The sequence below is a fragment of the Homo sapiens genome, chromosome 19 (assembly GCF_000001405.40).
Source record: "Homo sapiens chromosome 19, GRCh38.p14 Primary Assembly".
In the NCBI taxonomy this organism is placed as follows: Eukaryota; Metazoa; Chordata; class Mammalia; order Primates; family Hominidae; genus Homo; species Homo sapiens.
In genome coordinates, this window is record NC_000019.10 from 53,386,719 (window position 1) to 53,412,752 (window position 26,034).

General features: G+C 44.3%; 2 protein-coding genes and 1 pseudogene across 4 annotated transcripts in view, besides 1 other annotated feature; all 3 read left to right on the forward strand.

Moving 5' to 3' along the window:
* Positions 8,301-8,500: a silencer, noted in NCBI's record as "silent region_11009". NCBI's record gives its function as "represses an Ori minimal core promoter by ATAC-STARR-seq in GM12878 lymphoblastoid cells {active_cell/tissue: GM12878}" and the evidence as "EXISTENCE:reporter gene assay evidence [ECO:0000049][PMID:35858748]".
* The window catches only part of ZNF765-ZNF761 (ZNF765-ZNF761 readthrough), a 63,113-nt gene continuing 45,509 nt past the window's right edge, over positions 8,431-26,034 (forward strand). Inside the window, exons 1-3 of the mRNA NM_001350496.2 lie at positions 8,431-8,475; positions 11,225-11,312; positions 15,347-15,473. The gene's annotated coding sequence lies outside the window, so the exon portion shown is untranslated. The remainder of the gene's footprint in view (positions 8,476-11,224; positions 11,313-15,346; positions 15,474-26,034) is intronic.
* ZNF765 (zinc finger protein 765) overlaps positions 8,431-26,034 on the forward strand; it is a 32,173-nt gene continuing 14,569 nt past the window's right edge. The window contains exons 1-4 of one of the 3 annotated variants that reach the window (NM_001040185.3): positions 8,431-8,475; positions 11,225-11,312; positions 15,347-15,473; positions 20,980-25,291. In NM_001040185.3, coding sequence (NP_001035275.1) covers positions 11,298-11,312; positions 15,347-15,473; positions 20,980-22,409 — 1,572 coding nt within the window. In that variant the 5' untranslated portion in view covers positions 8,431-8,475; positions 11,225-11,297 and the 3' untranslated portion in view covers positions 22,410-25,291. Of the gene's footprint in view, positions 8,476-11,224; positions 11,313-15,346; positions 15,474-20,979; positions 25,292-26,034 lie in introns of those variants that run through there. The other 2 variants (NR_146721.2, NM_001350495.2) reach the window with 2 other exon arrangements.
* On the forward strand, positions 23,157-24,329 carry LOC124904793 (putative zinc finger protein 137; annotated as a pseudogene).

A 26,034-nucleotide genomic window follows, 5' to 3' on the forward strand; every position in this document is an offset into this window, starting at 1 on the left:
GTGGGAGGATTGGTTGAGACCAGGAGTCTCCTGGGAATCTTCTCGTCTCCCCTAACCCAGTTAATGACAGACCTTTGTCCTTTCTGTTATGGAAAAGTCTATAGAAAACAATATCAGTGTGTCAAAGCATTATGTCTGTCACAAGCTCATGAAAGGAAAATAAAAATGACTAAGCCAGAGAGAAAAGTCAAGCTGGGAACTGTATCAGATAAACCTACCTCCCATTTTGTTTCTAAACGAGATAGCTACAAAGACTAAAAGAAAGCTACATACAGACTGGGCGCAGTGGCTCATGCCTCTAATCCTAGCACTTTGGGAGGCCGAGGTGGGCAAACCACAGTACGTCAGGAGTTCCAGACCAGCCTGACTAATATGGAGAAACCCTGTCTCTACTAAAACTGCAAAATTAGCCGGGCATGGTGGCGCATGCCTGTAATCCCAGCTACTCAGGAGGCTGAGGCAGGAGAATCGCTTGAACCCAGGAGGCAGAGGTTGTGGTGAGCCGAGATTGCGCTATTGCACTCCAGCCTGGGCAACAAGAGTGAAATTCCATGTCAAAACAAAACAAAGCTATAGACTCCCCTCACAAACTGGGGACCTCGAGATCTCCACCCTAAAATAGTTCTTTTGAATTTCCCACTGCCAATGTAAACTAATAGCTTATCTTCACAGGTGTGGGACAGAACCCATCCCTCTGCACACCTGAGATGAATGCCTATCTGATTGCTTCCCCTGTCCTATTTATGTAAAAATGTAGAGTCACTGAGGCAGTCTAAGGCATAAGTGACTATTCCTCCACCCCCTCTCACATGTAAATTGTGTATTCAGGGCCAGGCATGGTGGTGGCTCACGCCTGTAATCCCAGCACTTTGGGAGGCCGAGGTGGGTGGATCCTGAGGTCAGGAGATCGAGACCATCCTGGCAAACATGAACACGGTAAAACCCTGTCTCTACTGAAAATACAAAAAATTAGCCAGGTGTGGTGGTGGAAGCCTGTAGTCCAGCTACTCGGGAGGCTGAGGCAGGAGAATGGCGTGAACCCAGGAGGCAGAGCTTGCAGTGAGTGGAGATCGGGCCACTGCACTCCAGCCTGGGTGACAGAGCGAGACTCTGTCACGGAAAAAAAAAAAAAAATTGTGTATTCAGTGAAAGGCTGATGAAAGACTCAATGTGATCATTTGTTATCTACGTGTGACCCAGAAGCCCCCCAATTGCAGTTATTCCACCTTTCCAGACCAAACCAATGTATAACTTACATGTTTTGATTGATGTATTATGTCTCCCTAAAATGTGTAAAACCAAACTGCAGCCTGAACACCTTGGGCACACGTTGTCAGGACCTCCTGAGGCTGTGTCACGGGGGCATTTTTAACCTTGGCAAAATAGATTTCTAAATTGATTGAGACCTAGTAGATACTTTTGGTTCACAAGCTCATGAACACAGAAGAAATCAAAATAGAATAAGAAAAAAATGAGGTGTAGTGGAAAGCACAATATCAGTTCCAAAATTTGAACTCCTTCATATTTATTCAACATAGGGAGATGCTCTTCAACTTTGGGTGGTTAGATTCCATTTGTGAAAGATACATATTTCTAATGTAGCAGGATGAGTCACAGACAAAACTCCTCAGACACCAGATTAAAGAAGGAAGAGGTTTTTTATTCAGCTGGGAGTGTCAGCAGACTCGCGTCTTAAGAGCCAAGCTCCCCAAAAAAGAAATTCCTAGCCCTTTTAAGGGCTTACAGCTCTAAGGGGTCTACGTGAAAAGGTCATAATCAAGTAAGTGTGAGGAATGTGACTGGAGGCTACATACATCAGCTAACAGAACAGAAAGTTTTACAGTACTTTCTCATACAATGTCTGAAATTTACAGATAACACCAGTAGTTTTGGTCAGGGGTTAATATTATTATTATTATTATTATTTTCACCACCAGGGTCAGGTGGTGGCGCCAAGGTCGTCTAGCTATTTATCTTAGTTCTGCTTCTTTCCAACTTTTTGCTTTCTCCCTTTTCTCCTGTCTTATAAACCAGGCAAAAGGGGAGGTTGGGGAGAAGCTGGGAAGGACAACAGGAGAAGTGGTGGCCTCATTCCATACTAATATTTGATTAAATAACCCATTCTATGTAATTTTAGCCAATTTAAATGGCAAATAATAAATGATCAATTATATACATACATAAAACTTCCTAATATTTCACTTAGTATTGCTATTACTATGTTCTTGGGACAGAAGTTCAGCCTGTCAGATACAAGAGAGTGGTGTCTCCATAACTGTGCTTAGAACTCCGTGCTGCATGAATGGATAAACTGTTAAGCAGGAACCTAGGAAAGCTAGAATGACAAAGTTCAAGTTTATTAAAACTAGCAAAACATATTCCTTACTGCTCATGCATGAGTCACGGTCATAAGATGTTTACAGTTAAGGAAAGCAGCTTCATGATACCTGCAAGGACGAACTCCTACAGAAACACAATGTCCAAGATAACCTAATATCCGATGACAATGTATGCTTTTAAGAAGCAGGCTGGTCGCAAACTCCTGACCTCAGGTGATCTGCCCACCTCAGCCTTCCAAAGTTCTGTCATTACAGGCTTGGGCCACTGTGCCCGGCCAAAGATAGCTTTAAATCAACAAAGTAATAAGTTTTGTCACACTGTCAGCTCACCGGCAGGTAGACATAACTTAGCTTTTACTTAGGCCCCTATGTAAGAAAAACTTCATGAGGAGGCACTCCCCCAGCCTTCTGAGGACACCCTACTGTGTAACTGGTAGCTTTCAATAAACTCTCCTCACTGCATTCGGACACTTGCCTTGAATTCTTTACTACGCAAGATCCAAGAATGTTAACATGGGGTGTAGACTGTGACCTCGTTTTAGGCAACAAAATGACTGAACGTTATACAAAAACAACAATTGATCCAATTCTCATAAAAGTAGGAATTTTGTAGTCCTCATCCAGCATGCCAAGCAAAGATCGACACTGTGGAGTCACCGCTCATGAGAACAAAGGGGCTGACAGCTGGGAAACATGGGTAGATGAGGGTGAGGCGCTCAGCAGCTGCCAACTGGGATTATTGAAAAGGGCAATAGGATCTTGGAAGGGGGAGAACACAGTATAAAGCGACACAAATGCTGCAGAGGCACTGGCCCTGCAAGCTTCACATGGGGGAGTTGGAAATCCCTGACAACTGCACAATCTTGCGTGTGGATTTCAACATCCCGAAGCAACCAGATTCCTGCTGTGGCTAGACTCGGGGATAAGGTGCTGCGAAAGACAGGTTTGAAGCAGAAAGACCAAGAAAACACTCATCTGAGCCAGCCCCGGGCGCTGCAGAACAACCATGGGCAGGCCCTCCACCCCGTCTGGGCGGATTCTGGACAGTCGGCGGTGACCCGGAGGGAGAAGGAAAGGTCGTCGAGGGGGCGGAGCCTGAACCGGTGCTTGGGCGGGGCCAGAAGGTGGAGGCCGCTTTGGAAGCCGGGCCAGGTTAGAGGGTGGGGGTGGGACCTGGAACGGGACTGGGGCGGGGCAAGAGGGAGGAGGCTGCCTTGGGGCCGCCCAGGACAGCGAGAAGGGCTGGGGCCAGAGGGTTATCATTTTCGGGGCGGGGTCTGAAAGGGGTTTTGTTCTGAAGGGCGGGGCCTGAAGGGGGGCGGATCCGGGTTCTTTCCTCAGCTGGGCCATGGCTGTCGCCTGCTGTCATACTCTTGCCCTCCAGGACTGGGTCCTCCGGGTTCTGATTGGTGGATTGTTTCTGATGTACCGTGATATTACCCCTAATATTACATGTAGTGAGCCACCTGTACCGAACGCTTAATCGTTTTTCCTCTTAAGTTGAAAATAGTTTTAATGCAAAGAGCCTTTTTGGAGCAGGTAGAGTCATGCATCCTTCAGGCGGGGCACGCTCCCCTCAGTCTGAAGCAGGGCGGGGTAGAGGGGCAGGGACCTCGGTAAAGGACTGGAGTAGGGCGCTGGTTGCAGCTGGGACTGACAACGAGAAGGCTTATTAAACTAAGCAGGATCCTGGGTTGAGTGGATAATGGGAACTGAAAGGTGACATGCAAAACTGCCTATTACACACAGGAGGTGAAGGACAATTCGTATTTCATGGAAATAAAGTCAGGGCCCAGAGTAGTGGCTCACATCTGTAATCCCAGTGTGTCTGGAATTGGTTCCCTCTGGTGGGTTCTTGGTCTCGCTGACTTTAAGAGTAAAGCCACAGAGCCTCGCGGTGAGTGTTACAGTTCTTAAAGATGGCATGTCCAGAGTTTGTTCCTTCAGATGTTCAGATGTGTCCGGGGTTTTTTCCTTCTGGTGGGTTGTGGTCTCGCTTGACTTCAGGATTGAAGCGGCAGACCTTTGCAGCGAGTGTTACAGCTCTTGAAACTGTCGCGTCTGGGGTTGTTTTTTCCTCCTGGTGTGTTCGTGGTCTTGCTGACTTCAGGAGTGAAGCTGCAGACCTTCGCAGTAATTTGGCCCTGCCCATGTCCTGCTAATGGGTCCATTTTACAGAGTGCTGATTGGTCCATTTTTACAGAGTGCTGATTGGTGATTTTCAAACCTTTAGCTAGACACAGAGCACTGATAGGTGCATTTTTACAGAGTGCTGATTGGTGCGTTTACAAACTTTTAGCTAGACACAGAGGCCTGATTGGTGTGTTTACAATCCTTTAGCTAGTCAGAGAAGTTCTCCAAGTCCCCACCCGACCCAGAAGCCCAGCCGGCTTAACCTCTCACCAGCACTTTGAGAGGCAGAGGTGGGAGGATCTCTTGAGCCAAGGAGTTCAAGATCAGCCTGGGCAACATGATGAGACCTCGTCTCTACTAAAAAAAAAAACAAAACAGCCCGGTGTGGTGGTGCACGCCTGTGGCCCCAGCTGCTCGGGGCACTTAGGTGGGAGGATCACTTGAGCCAGGGAGTTGGAAGCTGCAGTGCCCTGATCTCGCCACCACACTCTAGCTTCAGTGACAGAGCTAGACCCTGTCTCAAACAAACACGTAAATAAATGAGAGGTGTAATTCCTCCCTTGAAAATAAAGGAAGAGATTTTCTTTCCTTTCATCTCTTTTCTTAGGACACTGATTTCGAAAGTTTGCAAATGGATTTTCTCTGTCTTCTGAGTTTTTTTTTTTTTTTTTTTTCAGATGGAGTTTTCCTCTAGTTGTTTAGGATGGAGTGCAATTGCACGATCTTGGCTCACCGCAACCTCCGACTCCCGGGTACAAGCCTGGTTTTGAACTCCTGACCTCAAGTGATTTGCCCGCCTTGGCCTCTCAATGTGCTGGGATTACAGGCATGAGCCACCGCGCCTGGTCTGAAGTGGTATTTTTTAGAAACGAACTAAACCTTTTTTCAGCTTAATGACCCAGGGATGTATTTCTGAAGGACTTGGGAGCTCTCTTTGAAAGGCAAAATACAAGGGAGACAGTACCTGTATCTCAGTAGGAAATTAAGTAATTCAAACATCAAATAATTCCAATTTAAAGCTATGGCCTTTAAATAATTCTGAGCCTTTGAGGAGAGAGGCCATTTCTCTTACTGTCTCCTGTCTCTGAAGAGGAGGAAGTAAAAGCTGAAAAACAACAGGAATGAATTCAGTGACAAGACCAGCCAGCGCCACTGATGACCAGGCCTGAGGTTAAAAGATTAACTGCCCCCCAACTCTAACCACATGTGCTCTTAATCTGTCATGACCTTTTCCCGTGGAACCCCTTAGAGCTGTAAGCCCTTAAAAGGGCCAGGAACTCTTTCTTCGGGGGGTTCAATTCTTGAGAGGCAGGTCTGCCGACACTCCCGGCCAAACAAAGTCTTCAAAGAGCTCGGTTCTTGAGACGTGAGTTGGCCGATGCTCCCGGCTGAATAAAGCCACTTCTTTCTTTAACCGGGTGTCTGAGGGCTTTTATCCGCGGCTGCTCCTGCTACACCTTGAGAGGAATGTGCTCATGCAACCTGAGTCCAGCGGAACGCAGGCGTAACTTCTACGAGTTTTCCTGGCTGGCTGCGGTGGCTTATGCCTGTAATCCCAGCACATTGGGAGGTCAAGGCGGGCAGATCACTTGAGGTCAGAAGTTCGGAACCAGCCTGGCCAACATGGTAAAACCCACTCTCTACTAAAAATGCAAAACAAAAGGCGAGGCGCGGTGGCTCACGCCTGTAATCCCAGCATTTTGGAAGGCTGAGGCGGGCGGATCACAAGGTCAGGAGTTTGAGACCAGCCTGCCCAACATGGCGAAACCCTGTCACTACTAAAAATACAAAATTTAGCGGCTGGGCCAGGAGAATCGCTTGAACCCGGGAGGTGGAGGTTGCAGTGAGCAGGTGAGATCGTGTCACTGCACTCCAGCCTAGGCAACAGAGCGAGACTCTGTCTCAAACAAACAAACAAAAAATTAGACAGGCATGGTGGCGTGTGCCTGTAATCCCAGCTACTTGGGAGGCTGAGGCAGGAGAACTGCTTGAATCCAAGAGGTGGAGGTTGCAGTGAGCCGAGATCGCCCCACTGCACTCCAGCCTGGGCGAGTCTTGCCCTTATTTACAGGAAAAGAGTTCTCCTGTAAATAACTAGGAAGACTAAGCAGCCCCAGAGATAAGGCCTCCTGGGATCATTGTCCCTTTTTATGGAGTGATAACATAACCTTCCTTGAAGTGTATGACTCCGTCACCAATCAACTTGCTGCAACCTATGCACTGGTCTTGAATGGAAAATGTGTTGATTCTCCTAAAACTTCTCTGTCTTTCCCTGTGTGTGAAACCTTAACGTCTCTACTTGGGAACGTTGATCCCATTCATTAGGAGTTGATGTTTGCCGGTGGCTATCCTCATGCTTTGTGTTCAGATAAACTCTATACTTAATCATAAATTCTAAATGTTATTATTTACTGCTGACATCAGTTTCTGTCACATTGTAGGAGCCTCACCAGAGAGGGCACCTGTAGCCATGTTGTAAAACTCACACTTGTCAAAAAGACATGGGTTAGTGTTTCTCCCCCTCCCTCTGCATGAAGCTAATTAGCTGACACAGATGGTCACCTCCATTACCAACTAGAGCCAGGATGAACTATGTGTGACCAAGGGTGTTGTCAAGTCCTTTTCCCTGAGGACTGATTAGTGTTTATCTTGAAAACATGTACTTAATGGGTTGTATAGAACTGTGAAGTGTCTTTCTCTTTTTTCAACCTCTTAGCTCTTTGCCTCTATTTCCCATCACATTCTGGTCTAAGGCTTACTTATTAATAAAATGGTGTTTATTTCTTTCTCTATTATCGTCATGGAGATGTTTTGTCATTTGGGGGAAGATTTTTTTGTTTCGTTTTCAATTGTATTTTCTTAACAATTAGAAAGTGAAGTAAAAAGTATTTGGCCAGGCGCGGTGGCTCCCGCCTGTGATCCCAGCACTTTGAGGAGGCCCAGGCAGGTGGATCCCTTAAAGTCAAGAGTTTGAGACCACACTGGCCAACATGGTGAAACTCGTCTACAAAAATACAAAAATTAGCCGGGCATGGTGGCACGCGCCTGTAATTGCAGATACTCTGGAGGCTGAGGCAGGGGAATCGCTGAAACCCAGGAGGCAGAGGCTGCAGTGAGCCGAGATCCCATCACGGCACTCTAGCCTGGGCGACAGAGAAATACTCTGTCTCAAAACAAAAGAAATAAGTAAATAAATAAAGGAATAAATCTCTTCCAAAAATGTGCTGAGGCAACTAACTGGATATCCACATGGAAAAGAATACTGTTAGATCCCTATCTCACACAATCAAACTCTTATTTTAAAACGTTTAAAAAAAAAGGAAAAAAAAGAGAGAGTGACGAGGAAGGGAGCCCTGCGGGAGGGGGTGTTACATTGTCGCCCAGGCTGGCCTGGACCCCCAGGCTCAGCAATCCTCCCGCCGCTGCTTCCTGAGTAGCTGGGACCTCAGTCTCCCGCGCCCGCGCCCACATCCCTGCTGTGTTTATCCAGAAGGTGGTGACCTCACTCCTCGCTGGCCTGAGCATTCCGTCCCACATCCCAGGCGGTGGCCCTAGGGAAGTCTCTGCAGCTGAGCACAGGGTGGACTCTCCCTCCCAAGTGAATGGAGACTGGAAAGGGAGAGGATTTCTATTCTGTTTTGTGGGCTGTCAGCATGAAATCGTACGTTCCATCCAGGCAGGGCTTTGCATTTTACATTCCAGTTTGCATCCCCGTTCCAGACAATTCCAGGGCTTTTGAATCATGCCTCAGCCTTCCTGGCCGGTCTCGCCTCCAAAACCCGAAAACTGAGGCCCTGGGAGCCAGGCTGAGAGACTCACAGGTCCCGCCACAGCCCCGCCCTCTGTCGGTTCTAAAGGGTAAAGTCTCTCTGCCCCGCCCCTACCTCGCCCAAGCCCGCCCACCTCCTCGCGGGTCCCGCCCAGGCCTGGCTTCTTTCCTGCGCGCGCAGCTTCGCGCAGACCCGGAAGCGGACGGCGTGGAGTGACTATCCCACCGCCGCGGGTGAGTTTCGCTCTGTTTTGTATTAAGTCTGTGCTTCCCAGGTCCCTGGCGCTTCTGTACCTGGGGCGTGGGGTCTCCACTAACCTGGAAATTCTCAGCCGTCTTCCTTCACCCAGAGCAAGTTGAGACGACCCCGTGAGAGTCCGGGGGTCGCTTCCTTTTGGGTTTAAGGTCCCCCTGAGGCTGGTCCCGTCCCGGGTGTTTCTGCTATAGGGCAATGTATACACTTTCTATCACGTAGTTTTCCTGCTCTGAAACTTTTTCTGACTCCTCCCGTCCCGCGCTTTTTAAAGTCCTCACCCGAGAGGTGAATTCCCTCCCTGAGCGCCTCCCAGTCTCGCCCTCGTTGGCAGCTGGACGCAGCGCGGCGGCCCCAGCCCCAAGGAGGCCGCGTCCTCTGTCTGGTCCTGGGATCCTGCAGACCCCACCCTTGTCTTAAGGCGCCGTGGCGCCGCCGCCTCCCTCCTTTTGCGGGCCCTACTGCTCCCCAGGTTCGCCTCCACAGTCACTGCTTTCCCTGAGCCCGAGTTAGGGAGGTGCCCGGGGCCTGTCCTGTGACACGGGGTGTTCTTGCCTGCCCAGCTCCAGCCCCTGGAAAATGCGCTCCCCCGGGATGCAGGCGTTTTGCTCCAAACCCTCCTGTGTCTTATCCAAAGCCTCCGGTGCTTGTGTAGGCTAAAGGGATCAGGAGACAGACGTAGAGCAGTAGAAAACCTGAGACAGAAAAGAAGAATAAAAAAGACTCATAACAGATGGCAAAGTAGAGGATGGGTGAGGGATTTGCCAGACACAGCAAATGTGGGGGAAAAAAAAAAAAAGGAGGAGAAAAGCAACTGGAGAAATGTAGAGAAAAGGTAGATGTACAGAGAGATGAAGGACAGAGAGCAAGGTAGGGAGAGGGACAGCAAAGAGGGAGGCTCATCAGAGTGAGGGAGAGGAGGAGGGATTTGGAGCCAGGGCAGACAGAGCAGAGTGGTGCTGGTGGCAAGGAGAACAGAGGGAGAAGCACAGCAGGGAGGACACCTGGGGATCTGGGGTGCTAGAGAGTGGGGATGAGGGTATAACAGGGAAGAGAGAATGTAACAGGGAGAGCAGAGGAGGCGCAGAGATGGTGTTGCGGGAAACTAAGTACTAGAGAGACCGGTATGCGGGAGACAGAACGATGTTTATTTAAGGTACGCACCGGCTCAGTGGATTTACATCTAAAAAGCTGAGCATTTCAACAAAGACAGAGTGGGGTTTTTATAAGCAGGCTTACAGAAGCAAAATAAAAGCAGTTAATCATGTAATGATTGGTCACATAATCTATAGCATAGCATAACTTGTGGCCTTGCATAGCTGGTGGTCTTGTAGCTGCATTGAAAGAAAAACAAGAACAGCTAAATACAGACTTTTTTTTTCTTCACTCTTGTTCTAAAGTGGGGTTTTCTGGAGCTCATTCCTTTGGCTTCAGCTGCACAAAAAGCGTTATCTTATAACTGTCCTTGAAGTGAGCTTGCTAGGCAGAGGAAAACTTGTTCTTCTTTTCTTTTTAACCCTTGCCTTGCCTGTTAGTTTTTTGGAGTGAATGAATGCATATTGATTTTTTAAATTTCTGCCTCAGTTTTCTCCCTTTGCTGCTTTTTATAAATAAGGTTTTAATAGAAAGCACCACTATTACTGGATTCTTCATGAAAGAGCAGGTTTTCTTCTTTAGGCACAGGCTGATATTTATATGGAGCTATTAGCTGAGTGGTAGTCTGCCTAGTCACAATTGCTTCTATAGTTGATTGAACGTTCTTAACAAGGAGAGGTGAGGTAAGGGAGTATTAAACCAATTCTTAGTATTTCTAGAACCACTCCTGTTAAGGTTTTGAATCGACTGAAGGAGGAAAACCAGCCTCTAAAGAGGGACTCGGGAGTCTACTTTGTCTAAGTCTGGACTGGAACATGGGATAATTTTTTTATTCTTGCAGTTACTTCTATAACAGCCTTCCTATTGTCATTGATTTCTAGGCAGCAATTAGTTAGATTAAACTTTCTACATACTCCTCCTTCCTAGGCTAGGAGGTAGTCGAAAGCTAATCTATTTTGGTAGATGGCATTTCTCATTTTTGTGGCTTGCTGGGCCAGTAAGTCTAATGCATTTGCTGTTTCATTAGTGATGATTCCAAGTACTGCTTGCAACTTTATGATGCGGTTAAGCGTGTAAACTTAAGTGTGCCCGGCTCAATTTTTGAATTTTTAGTAGAGACAGGGTTTCACCATGTTGGCCAGGCTGGTCTCGAACTCCTGAGCTCAAGCGATCCTCACACCTCAGCCTCCTAAGTAACTGGGACCACAGACACACAGACGTGCACAACCATGCCTGGCTAAGTTTTTGTACTTTTGGTAGAGATGGGGTTTCACCACGTTGCCCAGGCTGGTCTCAAACCTGAGCTCAAGAGATCTACGCACCTCGGCCTCCCAGAGTGCTGGGATGACAGGCATGAGCCACCGCACCCAGCCTTTGCATGAGGTTTGGTCAGGCCTGGGTCTGTGCCCTAAAGGGGAGCTCATCCCACCCCAGCTCCCCACTGCTGCAGCGTGTGTGTGGGCTTCTCCGGGAGGGGAGTGGGAGTTTTCCTGTAGGAGTTTATTGTCCCTGGTGTGGTCGGCAGCATAGGGGACCGTATGTCCTCAGGATGAGGTCTCCTTTGTATGTGTTGTTGTGTTACAGGGAGGGGATATGTTGATTCTGAGCAATAAACAACATATTTCTAACATTCAGGATTGACTTCTAAAGACTCTTGGTATGTGAGGAAGAAACCTGGAAGAGGAAGAGGAAAGCAAAGGAGTCAGGGATGGCTCTTCCTCAGGTGAGATGATATTCTTGGTGGATTGTTCTGTCTCCTTCTTTTCAGAAATGCTGACCTTGGAGTTTGGAATCTTCTCTGAGTCTGAAGCATCTTGCCTGACAGGTTTGCTCGCACTCACCCATGCCTTCCTTCATTCCCTCTTATCTTGCTTAGATTCCATCTCCCATGATCCAGTGACATGAACTTGGGAAGAGGCTGCACTGGGCATGGTCCTGGGAAGGGCTCACACCCAGACATGGATGGAGATGGGGTGAGGGTCCCATGGTGTCAGTGCTGTTGGGCAGCAGGGATTGTTCAGGGGCTACATCTGGATGCTCTGTCAGCTCTCTGTAGACCAGGATTAGAGCAACTGCCAATGGAAGTCATGTATTCATGTGCACAAAGTATGTGGTAAATTCTAGAAAAGGTGACCAATATGGAGCAATTTTTTCTGCCTGATTTTATACTACATTTTTAGGTAATTGAGTGAGTTACTGTGTTTCTGACTCCAACTATCTTACTAATTAGAATGGAAAGTTCATACACAGACATGAATGATACAAGATGTTTTATTCCGTCTTTATTTTAAGAATAGGAAATCAACCTGAATAATAGCAGGAGATTCATTCAACCATTCTTAGCACATTACGCTCATGGAGACTGTGGGGTTCCTGTGGAGAGGCTTGTGAAACAGGTGTTTTGGTTATAATTTTTATTATCAGTACTATTATATTATGATAATATTATTATATTTCACATATATGAAGTCTTGCTTTGTCGCCCAGGCTGAAGTGCAGTGGCATGATCTTGGCTCACAGCAACCTCCACCTTCCGGGTTCAAGTGATTCTCCTGCCTCAGCCTCCCGAGTAGCTGGGATTATAGGTGTGCACCACCACGCCCAGCTAATTTTGTTGTATTTTTATTAGTGACGAGTATCACCATGTTGGCCAGGCTGGTCTCAAACTACTGACTTCAGGTGATCTGCCTGCCTCAGCCTCCTGGAGTGCTGGGATTACAGGTATAAGCCACCATGCCCAGCCCCAATGATTATTATTAAATATATATTTTTCTTTTTTTTAAAATTATTATTATACTTTAAGTTTTAGGGTACATGTGCACAATGTGCAGGTTAGTTACATATGTATACATGTGCCATATTGGTGTGCTGCACCCATTAACTCATCATTTAGCATTAGGTATATCTCCTAATGCTATCCCTCCCCCCTCCCCCACCCCACAACAGTCCCCAAAATATATATTTTTCTATTTAAACATCACATAGTGAATATATTTGTTTTGTGGTAAAACTCCAAGCAAAGCTGCAGCTTAGACCCTTTGCCATCAGGCATCTCCCTTCCCTGTTACATCCTCCACCCTTCTTCCAAACTCACTGGGGAGTCACCACTGTCAGTTCTGTGCCAGGCGTCAGAGCAAGTCTCATACACATGTATTTCTGCATCATATGAGACTTTAGAAAAAATTATTCAATAAATTGAAAAAAAAATAACTTTTTTACAAAAATTAGCCTGGCGTGATGGCACGTGCCCCTAATCCCAGCTATTCAGGAAGCTGAGGCAGGAGAATCACTTGAACCTGGGAAGCAGACATTGCAGTGAGCTGAGATTGTGCCACTGCACCCCAGCCTGGGCACAGATCAAGACTCCATCTCAAAAAAAAAAAAAAATTTTTACGTTTGGGGCCATATGTTCCGGTTTCTTACATAGGTAAACTAGGGTCATCGGGGTTTGTTGTTCAGGTTATTTCATCACTCTGGTGTTAAGTCCCGTACCCAATAGTTATTTTTTATTTATTTATTTTTTTGAGACTGAGTTTTGCTCTTTTTGTCCAGGCTGGAGCATAATGGCATGATCTCAACTCACTGCAACCTCTGCCTCCCGGGTTCAAGTGATTCTCCTGCCTCAGCCTCCTGAGTAGCTGAAATTACAGGGGCCTGCTACCATGCCTTGATAATTTTTGTATTTTTAGTAGAGACAGGGTTTCACCATGTGGGCCAGGCTGATCTTGAACTCCTGACATTTGATCCACCTGCCTCAGCCACTCAAAGTGGTGGGATTACAGGCATGAGCCACCGCATCTGGCCCCCAGTAGTTATTTTTTCTAGTCTTCTCCTTCCTCCCACCCTCCACCCTCAAGTAGACGCCAGTGTCTGTTGTTTTCTTTGTGCTCCAGTAAATATTTTACTTCGATATTTGATCCTGCTGGTTGTGAAAATTTACATGTTCTCATGTTAGTAAACGTGGATAGCTTGCTCTTTGACATCTGCATTGGAAATTGGCTGAATGACAAATGGGCCTTTGCAACTTTTCCCTGTATAAAGAGTGCCATAGTGGCTGCCTCTGTGCACACCCGCGTTACTACAGATATCTCACGATTCCTCCAGGTCAGGCAGTTGAAAGGGTGATTACTTCCTCTAGGATGAGGCATTTCCTGTTTTCTTAGATCTGACAAGATTCCCCCCTGTCCCCAACTGCCAATGTATCCTTTTGCAGCAAGATGAGATTCCTCTTCAGTTCAACAAAACTTGCTACTTTTTATATTTTTAAAGCCTTTATATGTATACACACCCACACACACAATATACACATACACATATACATATACATACATATACACATGCACAAATATATATATTTTGAACAACTTTTCCATTTTGAAAATCTGGGGAAAATGACAACCCTTTGTATTAACATCTAGTTTTTTGTGAGTCTGTGTAGGTTTCATTATTTGTTGACATATATATATATATATATATACACACATACATAAAATGGATTTTCATACTTTGAGTAATCTAGTTTTCATATATTTTCTTTTGTTTTGAGACTGGGTCTTACTGTGTTGCCCAGGCTGGAGCACAGTGGCACGATCTTAGCTCACTGAAACCTCCACCCTGAGGCTCAAGCCATCTTCCTACCTCAGGGTCCCAAGTAGCTGGGAACCACAGGTGCCTGCCACCATGCCTCGCTAATTCGCTAATTTTTTTTTTTTTTGGAGATGGAGTATCTGTTGCCCAGACTGTAGTGCAGTGGTGCGATTTCGGATCATTGCAACCTCTGCCTCCTGGGATCAAGCAATTCTCCTGCATCAGCCTCCCAGGTAGCTGGGATAACAGGCATGTGCCACTGCACCCAGCCAGATTTTAGTTTCTCATCTTTCACTGTGAACTGTGAATGTCATCTCTGAAGACATCATTCATACTCTGCCTCATCTAGATACTGAATGTCACTTGGTGTGTCAATAAATGTTTCTGGGCCGGGCACTGTGTCTGACGCCTGTAATCCCAGCACTTTGGGAGGCCGAGGTGGGCGGATCACGAGATCAGGAGATCAAGACAATCCTGGCTAACACGGTGAAACCCCGTCTCTACTAAAAATACAAAAAATTAGCTGGGCGTGGTGGTGGGCGCCTGTAGTCCCAGCTACTCGGGAGGCTGAGGCAGGAGAATGGCGTGAACCGGGGAGGCGGAGCTTGCAGTGAGCCGAGATCGCGCCACTGTACTCCAGCCTGGGCGACAGAGCGAGACTCCGTCTCAAAAAAATAAAAATAAAAAAAAAAACGTTTCTGGGCCGGGCACGGTGGATCATGCATGTAATTCCAGCACTTTGAGAGGCTGAGTCAGGCAGATCAGGAGGTCAGGAGTTTGAGACCAAACTGGGCAATATGGTGAAACCCCGTTTCTGCTAAAAATACAAAAATTAACTGGTCGTGGTGGCACGTGCCTATAATTTCAGCTATTCAGGAGGCTAAGGCAGGAGAATCGTTTGATCCTGGGACTTGGAGGTTGCATTGAGCAGAGACTGTGCCATTGCACTCCAGGCTGGGCAACAGAGTGAGACTCCACCTTTAAAAAAAAAAAAAAGAACTTTAGTAAACACAACTGGGAAGACAAAATGCGGTGAAAAATCCCTTACTCAGATTTGTTAGAACATTCACTGCATTTAAATCCATGCCTTCACCTCTCTCTTCTTCTCATTTTCTGTAAAGATAAGAACTCCTCCCATAACCATTTGGTTAAAATGTGTTTTCATTTCAGGGTCTATTGACATTCAGGGATGTGGCCATAGAATTCTCTCAGGAGGAGTGGAAATGCCTGGACCCTGCTCAGAGGACTCTATACAGGGACGTGATGCTGGAGAATTATAGGAACCTGGTCTCCCTGGGTGAGGATGACTTCCCTCCTGGGGATGTGCCCTTGCGTATCTTTGTATTTTCTCTCCTTTTTTTTTTTTTTTTTTTTTTTTTTGAGATGGAGTCTCGCTCTGTCGCCCAGGCTGGAGTGCTGTGGCATGATCTCGGCTCACGGCCAGCTCCGCCTCCCGGGTTCACGCCATTCTCCTACTTCAGCCTCCCAAGTAGCTGGGACTACAGGCACCCACCAACATGCCTGGCTAATTTTTTGTACTATTTTTTACTAGAGACGGAGTTTCACCATGTTAGCCAGGATGGCCTTGAAATCCTGACCTCGTGATCCACACACCTCGGCCTCCCAAAGTGCTGGGACTACAGGCATAAGCCACCGTGCCCGGCCTATATTTTCTCTTGTTTTTAGATAAAGTGTCTCTCTCTGTCAGCCCGGGTGGAGTACAATGGTGTGATCATGGCTCACTGCAATCTTGAATTCCTGGGCTCAAGTGATTGTCCCACCTGAGCCTCCCCTGGTAGCTGGTACAGGTGCATGCCACCATGTCGGGCAACTTTTTTAGTTTGTTTTTTTTCCAGACAGGGTCTTGCTGTGTTGTTGAAATTCATCCTGATCTCCTGGGCTCCAGAGATCCTCCTTAGTCTCCCGAGTAGCTGGGATTACAGGTGCCAAACCCCATACCTAATTATTGGCTTTTATTTTAAAAATTTTTGCATATGTGCAGCTGGGCATGGTGGCTCACACCTGTAATCCCAGCACTTCGGGAGGCTGAGGTGGGTGGATCACGAGGTCAGGAGATCAAGACCACCCTGGCCAACAGGGTGAAACCCCCTCTCTACTAAAAATACAAAAATTAGCCAGGTGTGGTGGCACGTGCCTGTAATCCAGGCTGAGACAACAAAATCACATGAACCTGGGAGTCAGAGGTTGCAGTGAGCCAAGATTGCCACTGCACTCCAGACTGGCGACAGAGCGGGACTCTGTCTCAAAAAAAAAAAGAAAAAAAAATTTCATATGTGTGTCCTTAAGGCTGAGTCTGTGAGTCTCTTGTAGACAACATGTAGTTGATTCCTGTTGATTCAGCCAGTCTTTGCCTTCTGAGTGCAGATTAAATACTTACAGTTGAAGTATTACTGATGGAGAAGACCTTACCCTTGTGATTCTGTTACATATTATCTGTATTTATTGTAGGTTTTTTTGTTCTTCATTTCTCATTTACTACTTTTGTGTTTATTTGCTTTTTTGTGTAGACATGCTTTGACTCCCTTCTTATTGACTTTTGTTTGTTTGTTTGTTTATGATGGAGTCTTACTCTGTCCCCAAGGCTACAGTTCAATGGTACGATCTTGGCTCACCGCAGCCGGCTCCGCCTTTCAGGCTCAAACAATTTTTGTGCCCCAGTGGCTCACGCCTGTAATCCCAGCACTTCGGGAGGCCGAGGCAGGCAAATCACCTGAGGTCAGGAGTTCAAAACCAGCCTGCCTAACATGGCGAAACTCCGTCTCTACTAAAACACACAAATTAGCCGGACACTGTGGTGGGCGCCTGTAATCCTGCTACTCAAGAGTCTAATGCAGGAGAGTCGCTTGAACCCTGGAGGTGGAGGTTGAAGTGAGCCGAGATTGTGCCACTGCCCTCCAGCCTGGGTGACAGCACGAGACTCTGTCTCAAAAAAAAAAAAACAACAACAACAAAATTCCATAACCTGCAAAAGCCACTCTTTCTCTACTAGAACTCTGTATTTATGTCAGAATTATTTCTCTGTATGTTGCATTCGCATTAACATATATGTAGTGTTTTTTCATGCTTTTTTCTTCTAAATAACAGAAAAAAAAGTTGAATTATCTAGAGAAGGTATACTTACACCAGTTTCTGTATGTGTCCTGTTATTTGCCTATTCATTTATTTATTTCTTTGTTGATGAGATGAAGTTTTGTTCTTGTCGCCCATGCTGGAGTGCAATGGCACAATCTCGGGTCACTCCAACCTCCAACTCCCAGGTTCAAGTGATTCTCCTGCCTCAGTGTCCTGAGTAGCTGGGATTACAGGCATGTGCCACCACACCTAGCTAATTTTGTATTTTAGTAGACACAGGCTTTCTCCTTTTTGGTCAGGCTGGTCTCGAACCCCTGCCCTAAAGTGATCCACCAACCTCGGCCTCCTAAACTACTGGGATTATAGGTGTGAACCACCGTGCCCGGCCTGTCTTTTTATTTACCTTTACTGGAGAACTTTATATATATTTGTGGGTTGGAGATACTCTTTAGAATTCTTTCATTTCTTTCTTTTTTTCTTTTTAAGACGGAGTCTCGGTCTGTCACCCAGGCTGGAGTGCGGTGGTGCGATCTTGGCTAACTGCAGCCTCTGCCTCCCAGGTTCAAGTGATTTTCCTGCTTCAGTCTCCCAAGTAGCTGGGACTACAGGCACATGCCACCACACCTGGCTAATGTGTGTGTGTGTGTGTGTTTGTGTAGAAATGGGGTTTCACCCTGTTAGCCAGTATGTTCTTCATCTCCTGACCTCGTGATCCTCCTGCCTCAGCCTCCCAAAGTGCTGGGATTACAGGCGTGAACCACCATGCCTGGCCAGCCTCAAAGTTTTTAAAACACGTAATTGCTATAGATGGCTTCAGGTATTGCAAGATTTATGGTACAGGCTCTAAACTTCCTTTGTTTAATCAGATTTGTCAGCCTTCAGTGATGTTGATGATGAGATGCTCCTGTTCCTGCCTCAGTCATTTCACTGTCAGAAATAGCTTAGACTGGCCACCCGAGGTGGCTCACACCTCTAATCCCAACAGTTTGGGATGCCAAGGTGGGCAGATCGCTTGAAGTCAGGAGTTTGAGACCAGTCTTGCCAGCATGGTGAAACCTCAAATCTACTAAATACAAGAATTTGGCCGGGCACGGTGGCTCAAGCCAGTTATCCCAGCACTTTGGGAGGCCGAGAGGGGCAGATCACCTGAGGTCAGGAGTTCAAGACCAGCCTGGCCAACATGTTGAAACCCCGTCTCTACTAAAAATACAAAAATTAGCTGAGCGTGGTGGCGCAAGGCTGTTATCCCAAGTACTTGAGAGGCCGAGGCAGGAGAATCACTAGAACCTGGGAGGTGGAGGTTGCAGTGAGCCAAGATTGCCCCACTACACTCCAGTCCAGGCAACAAAGTAAGACTCCGGGCTGAGGTGGGAAAATCATGCCACTACACTCCAGCATGGGTGATAGTATGTGACTCAGTCTCAAACACAAACAAAAAGAGAAATAGCTTAAACTGGGAGGCTTCAGACACAGAAATTTATTTCTCATGAATTTGGAAAGTGGGAAATCCAAGAGCAAGGTGCCAGCCAAATTGGTTCCTGGTGAGAGCATTCTTCATGGTTTAGCCCAGCCATCTTCCTGCCGTGTCCTGACATGGTGGAAACAGGAACAGGCAACGAGCTCTTTAATATCTCTTTTTATGAAAGCACAAGTCCTATTCACGAGTAGTCAACACCCATGACCAAATTGTCTCAAAGGCCCCATCTGCAGAACATCCTTTTGGAGAATAAGAACTCTGAACATGGCTTTTGGCCAATATGAACATTCAGACCAGGGAGGCTGCATCATATTGTTTGTGTTTTTATTGTATGATTTGATTTATAAAATGTTTTCACTGATCTCAGTTTAAAAATTTTCCCAGTACACATTCTATGTTTTATATTTTGTGCATAGTGAACTAGATAATTAATACCAACTATATATATATATATATATATATATATATATATATATATATATATATAAAATTGCTGTATTGCCTGGCTGTTTCATAAATGTAGTTGTGACATCATAATTGCACCCTCTGACACCGTTAGTCAATTTTTTTTTTTTTTTTTTTGGAGATGAAATCTCACTCTGTCACTCAGCTGGAGTGCACAGGTGCAATCTCGGCTCACTACAACCTCCACCTCCTGGGTTCAAATGATTCTCCTGCCTCAGCCTTCCAAGTAGCTGAGATTACAGGCAGCCACCACCATGCCCAGCTAATTTTTTTGTATTTTTAGTAGAGTGGGGATTTCACCATGTTGGCCAGGCTACTCTTGAACTCCTCACCTCATGATCTGCCCACCTCAGCCTCCCAAAGTGCTGGGATTACAGACCTGAGCCACCGTGTCCAGCCGTTAGTCAATTCTTATTCCTTATAATGCTGTGTATTTTTTTGACCTCATAAGTCAGAAGGTAGTGATCTTAACATGTATTTCAGTTCTTATATTGTCTGCTGGTGGCAAGTAGAAGTCGTGGCATTTTTCTTAACAGGGAATTGTTTAGAATTTTGCATGTTGTATAAATGTACTTATTATTTGCTTCCTGGTTTTATGGGTTACAATATTTTACTAATTAATTTTTATGATTGTACATGAGGCTTTTCGGTATGTGGTATGCAATATAACTGACACAGTCCACTAGTTAATGTCACACAGTGCCACCGGATGCTGTGGCTCACGCCTGCAATCCCAGGACTTTGGGAGGCTGAGGTGGCTGGATCACTTGAGGTCATAAGTTCGAGGCCAGCCTGGCCAACATGTTGAAACCCTATCTCTACTAAAAATACAAAAATTAGCCAAACGTGGTAGTGTGTGCGTGTAATCCCAGGTACTCAGGAGGCTGAGGCAGGAGAATGGCTTGAACCCAAAAGGTGGAGGTTGCAGTGAGCTGAGATCGGGCCATTGAACTCCAGGCGGTTGTGACAGAGTGAAACTTCATCTCAAAAATATAAAAATAAAAAATTTGTTTAAAAATGTCAAAATGTGCCTTTTCTGCAAGGATATAGGTAATTTTATGACAGTTATTCAGAAAAACATTGTATTAACATTTTTTTTCAAGATGGAATCTCACTTTGTCACCCAGGCTGAAGTACAGTGGTGCAATCTCAGCTCACTGCAACCTTTGCCTCTTGGGTTCAAACGATTCTTGTGCCTCGTGAGTCCCATGAGTACGTGGGACTAAAAATTTGGGACTAAAAAAGATTAAAAATTACATTTTGTAATCTTTTCTTATCTTCTCAGTGCTATGATTGTTTGACAATACAGAATTTCCATTGATTTTGGTTATCCTTACATAATCTTGTTGTGGATTATTTTCCAACACAGTACATCATGTGGTCCTTTAGCATCTATTTGTATACAGTAAATATGCTGTAAATGTGAAGAATATATACTTTTCATTGATGTGACAGTGATATGTTTTTTACAAACTGTTAGACACTTTAGGGTCACGATGGAAAAATATTCCTTACTTTAGGCTACACGTTTTTGTGCCCTGTCAGTGTTTTGTCACGATATTGGAAATAGACTTCCGTAAAAATAATTTGAAGCACATGTAATCGCCCTTTATTTGTTAAAGAATCTTATGCTTTTCTGTTCCTAAACTTTGAGGGTCATGTTTGCAAAGTTTAAAATAAGTATTGTTTTTTGTGTCATATTTACACATTTCAGCATTATTTACCATCTGTACTTAATTTGAAACCTTTTGGTGTGTATACTTTTTAGATATCTCTTCCAAATGCATGATGAAGGAGTTCTCGTCAACAGCACAAGGCAATAGAGAAGTGTTCCATGCAGGGACATCTCAAAGACATGAAAGTCATCACAATGGAGATTTTTGTTTCCAGGATATTGATAAAGATATTCATGACATTGAGTTTCAGTGGCAAGAAGATGAAAGAAATGGCCATGAAGCACTCATGACAAAAATCAAAAAGTTGACAGGTAGTACAGAGCGATATGATCAAAATTATGCTGGAAACAAGCCTGTTAAATATCAGCTTGGATTCAGCTTTCATTCGCATCTGCCTGAACTGCACATATTTCACACTGAAGAGAAAATTGATAATCAAGTTGTGAAGTCTATCCACGATGCTTCCTTGGTTTCAACAGCCCAAAGAATTTCTTGTAGGCCTGAAACCCATATTTCTAATGACTATGGGAATAATTTCCTGAATTCTTCATTATTCACACAAAAACAGGAAGTACATATGAGGGAAAAATCTTTCCAATGCAATGACAGTGGCAAAGCCTATAATTGTAGCTCACTCTTAAGGAAACATCAGTTAATCCATTTAGGAGAGAAACAATATAAATGCGATATATGTGGCAAGGTCTTTAATTCGAAGCGATACGTTGCACGCCATCGTAGATGTCACACTGGTGAGAAACCTTACAAGTGTAATGAGTGTGGCAAGACCTTCAGTCAGACATATTACCTAACATGCCATCGTAGACTTCATACTGGAGAGAAACCTTACAAATGTGAAGAATGTGACAAAGCTTTCCATTTCAAATCAAAGCTTCAAATACATAGGAGAATTCATACTGGAGAGAAACCGTACAAGTGTAATGAGTGTGGCAAGACCTTTAGTCAGAAGTCGTACCTTACATGCCATCGTAGGCTTCATACTGGAGAGAAACCTTACAAGTGTAATGAGTGTGGCAAGACCTTTAGTCGGAAGTCACATTTTACATGCCATCATAGAGTTCATACTGGAGAGAAACCTTACAAGTGTAATGAGTGTAGCAAGACCTTTAGTCACAAGTCATCTCTTACATACCATCGTAGACTTCATACTGAAGAGAAACCTTACAAGTGTAATGAGTGTGGCAAGACCTTCAATCAGCAGTTAACCCTTAACATTTGTAGACTTCATAGTGGAGAGAAACCTTACAAATGTGAAGAATGTGACAAAGCCTACAGTTTCAAATCAAACCTTGAAATACATCAGAAAATTCATACTGAAGAGAATCCTTACAAGTGTAATGAGTGTGGCAAGACCTTCAGCCGGACGTCATCCCTTACATACCATCATAGACTTCATACTGGACAGAAACCTTACAAATGTGAAGATTGTGATGAAGCTTTCAGTTTCAAATCAAACCTTGAAAGACATAGGAGAATTTATACTGGAGAGAAACTACACGTGTAATGAGTGTGGTAAGACCTTCAATCAGGAGTTAACCCTTACATGCCATCGTAGGCTTCATAGTGGAGAGAAACCTTACAAATATGAAGAACTTGACAAAGCTTACAATTTCAAATCAAACCTTGAAATACATCAGAAAATTCGTACTGAAGAGAATCTTACAAGTGTAATGAGTGTGGCAAGACCTTGAGTCATACGTCATCTTTTGTGTACCATCATAAACTTCATAGTGGAGAGACCTTACAAATGTGAAGAATGTGAAGAAGCTTTCTGTTTCAAATCCAACCTTGAAAGACATAGGAGAATTCACACTGGTGAGAAACCTTACAGGTGTAATGAGTGTGGCAAGACCTTCAGCCAGACCTCATCCCTTACATGCCATTGTAGACTTCGTACTGGAGAGAAACCTTACAAATGTGAAGAATTTGAGTTTTCCATTTCAAATCAAACCTTGAAAGACAAAGGAGAATTCATACTGGAGAGAAACCATACAAGTGTAATGAGTGTGGCAAGACCTTTAGTCAGAACTCATACCTTACACGCCATCGTAGACTTCATACTGGAGGATACCTTACAAATGTAATGAGTGTGGCAAGACCTTTAGTCAGAACTCATACCTTACATGCCATCATAGACTTCATACTGGAGAGATACCTTAAAAGTGTAGTGAGTGTGGCAAGACCTTTAGTCTGAAGTCATACCTTACGCACCATCGTAGACTTCATACTGGAGAGGTACCTTACAAGGATAATGAGTGTAGAAAAACCTTTCATGGGCAGTCAGCATTTTACAAATGTAATGATTGTCACCAAGTCTTGAGTAATGCTACAACTATTGCAAATCATTGGAGAATCCATAATGAAGAGAGATCCTACAAGTGTGATAAATGCAGAATAAATGCAGAAAATTTTTCAGACATCCTTCATACCTTTGCAGTTCATGGGTGAAGTCGTATTAGAAACCTTACAAATGTGAAGAATGTGATGAAGCTTTCAGATTCAAATCAAACCTTGATAGTCATAGAATTCATACTAGAGAGAAACCTTAGCAGTGTAATGAACGTGGCAAGGTTTTAAATCAAAAAGCAAAGCTTGCACATCATCATAGAATTCATACTGGAGATAAACGTTACAAATGTGAAGCATGTGACAAAGTTTACAGTCGCAAATCAAGCCTCCAAAGACAGGAGAATTCATACTGGAGAGAAAGCTTACATATGTGAAGAATGTCACCAAGTTTTCAGTCACACTCAAACCTTGAAAGACACAGGAGAATTCCTACTGGAGAGATAGCATAAAAATGTAAGAGTTTGTGACAAGGCTTTCAGGCATAATTCGCACCTGGCACAACATCCTAGAATTCACATTGGAGAGAAAGCTTACAAGTATAATGAATGTGACAGGTCTTTAGTGGGCAGTCAACACTTGTTTACCATCAGGCAATCCATGGTGTAGGGAAACTTTACTTATGTAATGATTGTCACAAAGTCTTCAGTTACACTACAACCATTGCGAATCATTGGAGAATCCATAATGAAGAGAGATCATACTAGTTTAATAAATTTGGCAAATTTTTCAGACATTGTTCATAACTTGCAGTTCATCGGCGAACTCGTACTGGAGAGAAACCTTACAAATGTCATGATTGTGACAAGGTCTCAGTCAAGCTTCATTCTATGCAAAACATAGGAGAATTCATACAGGAGAGAAACCTCACAAGTGTGATGATTGCGGCAAAGCCTTTAATTCACATTCACACCTCACTAGACATCAGAGAATGCATACTGGACAGAAATCTTATAAATGTCATCAGTGTGCCAAAGTCTTCAGTCTGAGCTCACTCCTTGCAGGATATCAGAAAATTCATTTTGGAGATAGTTGTTCCAAATACAATGTGTATAGCAAACCATCAAGCATTAATTGACACTAGAGTCAGTTCAGCATTGACTTGAGTTTGACTTAACATTGAGTTGAAGCCTTAATTGACATTAAAGTGTTTATGTTAAGAGGACTGGGCCAGGCACAGTGGCTCACACCTGTAATCTGAGCGCTTTGGGAGGCCAGCACCGGTAGATCACTTGAGTTCAGGAGTTTGAGGTCAGCCTGGCCAACAGACGTGAGCCATTTTCCCAGCCTGTTTTTTGTTTCTTTAACAAAAACTGATAGGGATTTTTTTTTTTTTTTTTGAGATGGAGTTTCACTCTTGTTGCCCAGGCTGGACTGCAATGGAGCGATCCCAGCTCACTACAACCTCCGCCTCCCAGGTTCAAGCAATTCTCCTGCCTCAGCCTCCAGAGTAGCTAGGATTACAGGCATGAGCCACCACGCCCAGCTAATTTTGTATTTTTAGTAGAGATGGGGTTTCTCCATGTTGGTTAGGCTGGTCTTGAACTCCCAGCCTCAGATGATCCACCCACCTCGGCCTCCCAAAGTGCTGGGATTACAGGCGTGAGCCACTGCGCCCAGCCCCAGTGATAAGGATTTTTATGGGTACCGTGTTGAATCTAAATCACATTGGGTTATATAATCATTTAACAATATTAATTTTTCCAAACCATAAGTATGGGTTGTAGCTCTATGTTTCTAATCATTTTGATCAATGTTTGTAGATTTCAAGGTAAAAACCTCTGACCTTTTTACGTTTATTTCTAAGTATTTCTTACTTTAAGTTCTCCAGCCAATGGAAGTGTTTTAAAATTTTCTTTTAAAGTTGTTTGTTGTTAAAAGTATGGAAATTCAACTAATTTTTGGTGCTGATACTGTATTGTGCAAATCCACTGAATATGTTACTTAGTTCCAGTAGTATTTTGGTTGACTCTTTGTGATTTTCTGCACAGAAGATCATGTCGTCTACAAACAAATATAATTTTACTTCTTTCTTTCTGATTTCGATGAGTTTGATTTCTTCTGCTATTTAATTGCTCTAGCTAGGACAGCCAGTATTGATTGAATAGAAGGGGTGAGAGCACTCTTGCATCATGTGAGATCCTCCAGGAAAGGCATTCCATTTTCCCTACTTGATTATTCACTCATTGGTCATTTCATGGATGGTCTTTCTATTGTTTAGGTAAATTTCCTTTCTATCTATTTTGTTTAGGATTTCTATGATGACTGGATTTTGAATTTTGTGAAATGCTTTTTCTCCCTCTATTAAGATGATGTGGTTTTCATCTTTCATTCTGTTCAAGTGGCATATCACATTGATTTGCTTGAATATGTTGAACCATCCTTGCATCCCAGAAATAAGTGGCACTTGAATATCTACAATCCTTTTTACATCCTCTTGAATACAGTTTTCTAGTACAAGGGATCTTGATGAAGTTCATGGAAAAATACATATTATGAGAAAATTGTGCATGAATTTCACAGTTTTTGCACCAAATTAAACTGGTACAAGTCTGTTATAACATGTCTGAACAGGCTGTAGTTGAAGGCACTCAGAAGGATAAGACATAAGTTTGAAAAGAGACTCTATCAAAGTAAAATAAATTCTGCTAAAATTGAAACAAAAAGAAACATCAAATTTATGATGAGATCAGATGCAGTGTCACCACACCCTGCTAATTTTTGTATTTTTAGTAGAGATGGGGTTTCACCATATTGGCCAGGCTGGTCTTGAACTCGTGACC